General features: G+C 35.5%; 1 pseudogene; it reads right to left on the bottom strand.

Moving 5' to 3' along the window:
* Positions 741–7,125, bottom strand: TRIM51CP (tripartite motif-containing 51C, pseudogene; annotated as a pseudogene).

Here is a 9,923-nt window from a genome sequence, read left to right as displayed (position 1 = left end):
TATTTATTACATTCATTAATCACATGTATTGTATTTTATTGCATATATGTTGGGATAAATATTTTTCTCCACTCTTGGTTTGCATTTTAATTCTTGGATGGTATATTTTGAAACACAGAAGTCATCATTTTTGATATAAACTAACTAAATTTTTCTTCTTAATTGTTCCTTTTTTGTCCTGGTTAGGAAATCTTTCTGTGTGAGAATAATTTACTGTGTTCCCTTCACCTTCAGAACATGAATCCATGTGGAAATGCACTGTGTATGGTTTGAGGTAGGGGTCAGTATTCAGTTATGTCCATTTGAATATTTAATTGATCCAGCATTGTCCTGATCCCCTTGTAAATTTCACTGTAGAACAGCACTCTAATAATGCATGAGCATTTTGTATATAAGATGAGATTTACAAAGATAAGCACAGCATAAGAGGTCAAATAAGATTACCTCAAAGTATAGGTTCATAAATAAAACACATGGAGAAGTATAATATTGTTAGATGAAGAGAAAGAAAATATTTCCAGGTTACCATTGAGTCTTTTTTACTCCAAGTTTTTTCATGAAGCCCAAGATCTCTACTTTCTTCCATTGATTTTAACTTCATTTAGACAACTCTGTCATCTATTATTTCACTTTGTGACATTCAGAAATAATTAAAAACCAGAGAATATATTCTATGCCATACATCATGGGTAATGATTTTCCAAAAATGACTTAAAAAGGAACCAATACACATGGTTGCTATGTTTTCACCATATTTAATAGAAACACTATAAATGAGTTTTGATGACATTAGAATGCAAGTAAAGACATTAAATATAACTTATTTGTCCTGTTTGATGAGGTGTGAAAAAGAGGGCTTTCTGTGATAAACAGGTTCCCAGAGCATATAGACACATTTCTGACTTTTTTCTGCTCAGAAGTGACTACAGCAAAAGATAGGCTAGAGAGGAGGTGAGAAGGAGCAATTAAGGATGGTGTATATCAGGGAACTTTGATCAACATCAACAAAGCTCATGGTTCTACCTTCACAATCCAGGAATAATCCTACTGTGCTGGTAGGTCTTGGAACGTATTGCACCACAAGTGGGGAGGTGGTAAAGAGATTGCAGTGACTGTCCTCCTTAACACATCCAAGAAGAAAGAGTCCCTCCTCTCCATCTATCTTGTCATTCTGTCTCCTCTTTCCAATAATTGTTACAGACACCAAAAGCTCAATTCCAAGAGTCCCCCACGTGAACCTCCCAATAATATTTGCCAGATGTGAAAGCCTGAGCCCCCCATACAAGAAAACATTCAGATTTTGCAGTGATATCGGGATCTTCTTGAGGGTCACATCCAACATTCATGCTTCTCAAATCTCCATGCAGGAAGATATGACTATTGGCTCTTTCAGGCTGCACAGTAAAATCAACAGCAAAAATAATTTTTAAAAAATATAGATACATGTAATTAACAGAAATTAGAATTCTTGAGGGAATAGTAGTTCTACCAAGAGTTTACTTTACCAGGAAATTTGAAGTTACAAGGACAGGAGAATTGTGACTACAACATTTAATAAAGTATAAGGATGATTAATATTCTCTATAAGAAGAACAAAACCCTAAAAACAGACATTGAAAATTTATTGAAATCTTAAAAATCGAGAGTTGAATATAAGACCAGCCTGTTTTTATCCAATCTCCAATGTAAAAGTGAAATATTTTATGCCCTGAATGCCCTTTAGCTATCAAGGTCATTATTATTAAAATATTTCTTGTTCTTAAATACTAGTGATATAATTTTGGCAAGAATGGGAAGATTTTAGCTTACACAAGCACCGCTCTAGATAACTGGATAAAAGTCCATATGTTCAAATTATGAGTGGTAACTGAAGGCAGATTTTTGCAAAATCTTTTACCAGTCACTTTGCGGACATCCCTGCTAGCTCTAGACTCAAACTGAATTTTAGATTTTTACACGTAGCTCTTCAGGTTGTAACTAAACTGAAATTATCATTTCTATTTTTACTTCCTATTTTCATAATAATTTCTTCTTTCTTTTTACATGTTAAGTCCAAATTTTACATTATATCAATAAAATCTATTTATTGTAAGAAAGTACAAATACTCCAACAAACTGCAGTGAACTCTATTCCCCAATGAAATGTTTTTAACAATTCAAATGAAATACAGTAAACAAATGTAAAACTTTTATATAACCTTGGATTATTATGCTTCCTTCTGAGCATTGTTCCATTTATTCAATTTTTTATTTCTTATGTCATTCCTTTTACCCAATATAGAACTCTATACAAGAGCCCAGAACATGTTTGTTTTTCACTATGTTTTACACTTCATGTTATAAATTGGACTATAAATAGAAACACAGATATAAAAGGGTTGCATCGTCATATGGTTCACTTCCTGCTGAAATGAAATAAAGATTTGATGAAGGGTAAAATATTACCCCCATGATTCTAACAAGAAGTAATACACTGTGGGAATTCTGCCAATGGGCTGACACTTACCTTTGAATCCACTGAGCCTGTCCAGCAGTCCAGTGATGGGCCCTGCACTGAGCTCTGGATTCACAGGCTCAGATGCTTGCAGCAACAGGGACTCATACCTGCAAGGAGAAACATACCCTTTCCACATCTGCAGCCAAAAAAAAAATACATAAAAATCACCACTTTTATTTAAAAGACATTTCATGAGAATCCCTTTAACCCACACATTTGCTAATTCCAAAATTATCATTTTCTTTTTCAAATTCATTCTTATTCACAGTTCCTCATTTTCAAACACGATGGAAAAGTCTATCTGACTGAGAATTCATTCAGATCTTTCTTGGTATTGCTCCAAATTAGTAAGGATCATTAGTCTTAAGACTGGGAGAATATTCAAAAATGAAATTCTGGGTTCCAGGCCTCTCCAGAAATTCCTGAAATCACTGTCTGGAAAAGTGGGGTTATTTTTAAGACTGCTGCATCTGTTGCTTCCTTCTCAAGGCCAGAGAGTTGAAACTTGCTCCAGGCAGGGAGATCTGCCTTTTATAGTCGAGGTTCTCTGGAGGCCTACACGGTTCAAACATACCGAATAGTTTGTTTCATCCATTTTTCACAATTATATATTTAAATATAAACTAGAAATCATCAACACTTTTCACTGCTAAAATACTTTCCCCTTTTCTCTCTGGCTTCCCCTGGTTGACTTTGTATGCAAGTAGTAAATGTAATATTTTCTCTTTCAAATATGAAGGCTTTTGAGCAATAAAAAGGAAATTAGGAATAGAGATGCTCACTTCCTTTATTTTTCTTTCATTTATTTATTTTTTGTTTTATTTATTTATTTATTTATTTATTTGGTTTTGCAGAACTTTCATTGAGCTGCTTAATAAAGTCACTGAGTATGGCAACAAAATAGATGACTACATGGGGTGGGGAATGGAGAAAATACAACCAGCACAAGGCAGTATCAGTATGTGAATCAATTATACCTTCAATGTCAAAGTTCCTGCTTGATAGTTGTGGAAACTGAAAGCATCTGCTAAAATCTTGGTATGTACTCACCTGTGTAATATGTCTCCCAAAGCCTGTAAAATAAAAAAAAAAAAAATTGAAAGGCTTAGTGCTTTCCACAAGATGCATCTTCCACTAAGTTCAGTGTGAGATTTGGAGACAGTTTCTGAAGATATTATTTTCCTACAATGTTCCCTCCTGGAAAGCATTTTCTGTTTCTTTTCTCATGAAAATCCCAGTCTATGATATGTCATGAATTAATGTCCTGACAAAGTCTAAGTCTTGAAGACATTCTCTTTTCAAGTGAAGGGAGAGGAGGCCTACAGAGTCTATGCTCTGAGGTAACCATAAAGAAGCTACTCAGTCATCTTCCCTAAACCTTGTTACCAAAGTGAGTGGACCCCAAAATAATATTAGGGTGATCCTAGATTCCCCAACTTCTCCATCCTGCCATGTCTCCAAATTAGCCTAAATGCCAATGGATCACTTCTCATTTTATCCACTTTCAAAAATCCTAAATAAATCACTGACTTTTGATGGGAAATATTTCTTGGGGCTATTTGTTACCTTAGCCATTCTACAAAGTTTTGTTGCTGGTGGATAAAGTAGGAGGGACCTTCGGTCTGGTAGAATCACAAGGAGAGGATACACCCTCCCAACCAAGGAGCATTAGTTATTGAATCATGTTTTTGGAAACAAATCATGGAAGTGAAGGGGGAGATGGATTTCAGGAGAGAGGAAAAACACCCATGTATGTGAATGTTCAACACCATGATACCCCACGGTCAGTCCGTACCTGGAGTAGCTCCACATCTGCTTTATGGCACATTTGCTTCAGATCCTCATACATTCCTCTTAAAAGCTCCCTGGAATGTTTCATTCTGGCTTTGCTTTCATTGAGTTGCTGAAAAATGTCCTCGTCCTCCTTTCGCAGCCTCTCCAAGTGATGTTGCTCTTCTTCATGGAGAAATGCAGGCATCTTCTGATATTCAGCTCTGATTGCTTCTATCCTTAAACTCACATAATCCTGCAGTGACAATTAGTCAAAATAGAAATGTTTTATCCATCTTCTCTTGAATTTCACTGATTCCTCTTAGCATTCTCAACACCCAATATTTTAATCCTCGATCTTGTCAATTCTCAGATTCCACAAAATTTTATTCCTTTCCTTTTTTTCTGTACTACTATCAACATAGTTGTTTCTGCCCAGTTACATTTACTTGATTAATGATAAAATGTTTTCTATGACAGTTATATAAAGATGGATTTCTCTCTTCCACACCACATTTATAGAAAGAAAACACAGTTCTTGCTTAAGAATCAAACTATCGAGTTATATTGACTAGGTAAGAAACCATTATTTCTATTTTGGAGAATTGGGGCAAGTTATGTAAAACCATTATATGACAAATGATGACATGACCCAGACTAGCATTGTCAACTCAATGCATTTCACCCAGCATAACATATTCTAATAAGGTTTCATTTATTCTCTTCCAAACTCACCCTAATCTGCAACATGGACTTCTTTGTGGTTCCTCAAACCCCCAAATAAATGCAAATTAAATATTACTGCACATGCTGTTTTCTATGCCTAGAATTATTTTCATATATATATATATTTCTCATATATGTACTCATATATATATTTCTCAAATATAGGTATATATGATGTATGAGGAATATATACGTGTATCTGTGTGTTTACATATATATTCCTCAAATATATCTATCTATATATATATACCAACACCGACATACACATATATATTCATATATTTATGAGGAAGAGGAAGGCAAACAGGAGGATATATATATTTCCTCCTGATCAAGATTTTGTTTCAGTGTGAATTTTTCCATGAGCCTTTTTTCTGACCACCCTATTTAAAACTCAAACCCTCATCCCCAGTCCCTGGCCTCTGTGCTCCTTTTCTACTTTCCTGCTTGATTCTTCTCCAAAGACACTACTGCACTCTAACACATCATGTACCTCACATATCTGCATGGTGACCATTTGCTTTTCTCATTTCCATTGCAAGATTTGTGTGTTTTCTTTCTTCTTTACTCCTTAATTTTCTAAGTTGATATTTGACCTAGACTAGGTACTCATAGAATATCTTTCAGTGAATTAATATTAGAATAAATTAATGAATTAATATTAGATATCATACCCTCAATATAAACATCCACAAAGAGAAAATCATTTCTAGAATTCTTCTCAAGTCCTTAGAGTTCTCCTTATATTAAATACTAGTTCCCATATTTCTCACATATTTATGTCTTCATCAAGACACAAGTCTACATTTCTCACCACTTTTCCCATTATGTTTTATGACTTATTCAATATTAATTAGTGCTGATATTTAATTTCATGCTTTCCCTAAGGTTGCGCTCTCTCACCTTCTGCCTGAAATTTAGCTCACATTTCAATATACTTGCCCACCAGGATTCAAATTCATACTGACTCAGCCTTAGAAGGGTCACCTGAAATTTCCATGACTGACAAATAACTCTTGTGTCCAGAATTTATCCAGGCAGCCCACTGGGAACAGTGTGAAATGGCCCAGTTTCTTGTATTTGTTGGGGTATTGCTATAGGTTTGTATGGAAACAGATGAGCATGCTAGTGTAAAATCTGTGGTCTGATTAGAAATCCTACCAAAGAGTCACACTAACTTTTATAAAAAATTAGGGTGTTTTTTTCTCAAGTGTTTTCTCCTTCTTTATTGAATTCCAGAAACATTATGGGTTGAGATCAAGTTCCTATTTTAAGAATCACCCATTTGTTCCCTATAAGTTCCTGGAGAAGGTAGAGTAATACGGTACTAACCTTCCAGCTTCTTGTTCTGGTGGTTTCCATGTTCAGGTTTCTGAGATTTTCCCAAGCTTTTTCCCATAAAGACTGCATTTTTTTTAGGAGCTCCTCCTGCAAAAGAGCCATGAATTTAAGCACAAGTGAAGACAATAAAGTATCATTCACACTCTGATATACGAAGGGCCCAAAATGAGAGACAAATTAGCCCACAGAAAAGAGAGTTTGCTGTGTTTCTCCTCATGTTTGTCGAATCTGAGAGGTGTGAAGTCAAGGAAGCTCATAACAGACATGCTTAAGGGGACACAGAGATGGCATCATCCAATCTCCAAGGAAATAGACTTACAAGAATTTCATGTGTCCTGCATAGAAATAGATCTTCAGAGGCATTACTTACCCGGCGTTCCTCTGCAGCCCACTCAATGGGACAGTGTCTGTGATTCCGGTGCTCCTGAGAGTTGGAGCACAGCAAACAGAGCAGGCTCTTGTCCACTTCACAGAACATTTTCTTTGTCTCTCCGTGCATCCCACTTATTTGCTCCTCAGATCTAAGGAATTGCCAGAGGCTAGCTTTTCTAACAAAGGAAGCCATATTCTTCAAACAAATGTCAGTTTTGAGGTTTCTCTGCCGTGTTGTCTTCTTGCATATAGAGCGCTGAGCAAGAACTGCCATGTCTTGCCAGTTGAGGTAGAAACAGGGCCGGCAAAAGCTGTGCCCACATTCTATGGTGACTGGGTCTATGAAGTAGTTCATGCAGATGGGACAGGTGAGTTCCCTCTGGAAGACTTGCAAAATTTCAGAATTCATGTTTCTGAAGAAGAAAGAGCAGCATGTCATTTTGGGGTCTGGGTTGGTGAAAATCTGTGAACATGTGGTGATATGTGATAGCTATATTTTCCTCTTGACAGTGCTCATTAAAGCAGAACAAACTATTTCCTCTGTAACAAAAATGAAAAATTCATACACAAAGAGAGTCTTTAGGCTTTTTAGTAGACACCACTGACTAGATGACTCACAACCTCTTCTACTCCTAGTTCCTGCCCATAACATAATGCAAATCTGTTCAAATACCTATTCCCTGGATGTCGATATGAAACTCGGGTTTTAATCTTAAGTGGTCTAGAATAAAACATGGTCGTCCATATTTCTCTTTCAAATAACTACTGAATGACTATGGGAGAGGAGTAGAAAACCTACATTAGGAAACAAAACATGAGAAGATGGTCAGAGGGCGCTATGGCATATGTTTAGAGAGAGGGACCCAGAAGCCGGCTCTTTAAAACAAAAACAACCCCAGAACAAATCAACAGCCAAGATAAACAAAAAGACAGCAATTAAACCAGTCTAGGATAAATAGGAGATAAAATAAATAATGAAAAATATTGGGTTTATTTTTCTTATGGCTTAAATTAACTTCTTCTTTTGGCTACTCAAACTATGAACTGACATATAGTCAGTTTTTTAAAAACTGAAATATATATAATCATATTACTATGGAATTATGGTTAATTTTAGGTGTTAACTTGACTGGATTAAGTAATACATGGAGAATTGGTAAAGCATTATTTCTGGGTGAGTCTGTGAAGGTGTTTCCAGAGAAACATGTAAGTTGGTGAGCTGAGTGGGGAACAGCAGCCCTCAATGTGGGTGGACACTATACAATCAGCTGGTAGCTCAGACTGAAGATAAAGGGCAGAGAGAAGGCAGTTTCCTCTCTTTCTCCTGAAGCTGATTCTAACTCAGCCAGGATATTGGTATCTTTAGGACATTAGCTTAATGACAGCCTGTGTTCAACTTCTCAGACTCCATAATCAAGGGAACAAATTCTCCTAGTGGACTTCCTCTCCTGTACAGTGTCATGTGTAGAGTGAGGACAGATATATGATCCGAGGGACGCATTAGACAGTCTCGTTATTGTTTGAACATCATAGGGTATACTTACACAAACCTAGATGGTATAGCCTACTACACACCTATGGTATACAGTATAGCATATTGTTCCTAGGCTACAAACCTGTATGGTATACGATAGGCAATTGTACCAGAGTTGTAAGTATTTTTGGTATATATACATATATATATATATATATATATATATATATATATATATATATATATATATATATATAGTTATGTACACATCCTATGGTTCTGTCTCTCTGGAGAACCCTGACCAATACAAACTGGAATCTTTCCCTTGGCAGTTTGAAGTCCTTTACCTGACTCTCTTTTACTAAACACTGCTGAATTTAAGTACCAAAAGTGAAAATTTAAGAATTGCAAATATTTTTCAGAGGTCATCTGAGCCATTTCAAGGAATTTTTCATAGTTTCATCTGAGGTAAGCCTCAATTAAAATGACAACTACTATCAAGTATCAAATCATTCCTTATACAGTTATCTGCTAAACAATTGTGTTTTGATTTCTAAGCTAGGGCATTTTGGAGAGCATTCTTATTTCCTTTAGTATCACCATTTTTAACTCATCATTGCCTCAGTAACTTAAAATCATGTCTAAAAGCTTAATGTTATGAAAGCACAACATTTACAGTATTCAATAATTATCCTTTTTTACTTAATTAAGTGTATTAGTACATGCAGTACACATATATGTTTTAATGTGAATTCCATATATTCATGATGCATACAAATCTATTGCAGCAAACACTAGATATCTAAAATTTTTCAAAAATATATTAAAAACTTTTGGAACACACAAAATGACAACAATTAATAACCTCATGTCATAAAATGAATAGCAATAATATGAGTTACAAATAAGATCATTAAGTAAGTTTAGACAGTTAGATATTTTTATCACTGTAATTTACTCTTTTAAAGGAAGAGAGAAATAATTTTCTCCATATAAGTTGCACTCACCCCAAGGTTCTATGAATGTTTCCTGCAGTAATTCTTCCAAGAAAGAATTCTTTTAAGTACTCCCCAAGATCAGGAGCTCATTCCCTGCACAGTTGACTTTCAGAGGTCACCTGAATGCAGTTAACTCTATGTGCTGTCCTCCTTTGGAGAAATATGAGCTTCTCTCTTCTGCATACTTTTATGTGAATCTTTGAAGACCACACCCACCTCTTCAGAGATATTTAGGGTATTAAGAAAGGTGGAGACAGAGATGATTAGCTTTCTGCAATATTTAGTACATGCCTTTTCATCACTGATTAAATTAGCATCACACTATCATTGTAAAAACCACTGCCTGAATGAGGCATATCTATCATCAATCTTATCAGAGTAAACATATGCTAGAAATTAACTAAAATTGATTAATACTGTTTCTTGAGTTTCTTCCCAAGGTGCAAGCATTCCTCTAAGTGCACATTTATTTATTTATACCAAAGAAAGTTTCTCCATCTGGAGTGCAGTGGCAGAATCTTAGCTCACCGCAGCCTTGAAATCCAGGATTCAAGTAATCCTCCCACTTCAACTTTCAAAGTAAAAAAGACTATAGGTTTATGCCATTGCACCTAGCTAATTTTTCATTTATTCATCAAAAATATTTTTGAAATTCTTAGGTGATTACATGTGTTACAGTGACCAGCTGGATTAGAATTAGATTAGGTTTAAAACGATCAGAGAGTCTGGGAGAGGGGGCAGAGTG

The sequence above is a fragment of the Homo sapiens genome, chromosome 11 (assembly GCF_000001405.40).
Source record: "Homo sapiens chromosome 11, GRCh38.p14 Primary Assembly".
NCBI classification, from domain to species: Eukaryota; Metazoa; Chordata; class Mammalia; order Primates; family Hominidae; genus Homo; species Homo sapiens.
This window is presented reverse-complemented; position numbering and strand designations above follow the sequence as displayed.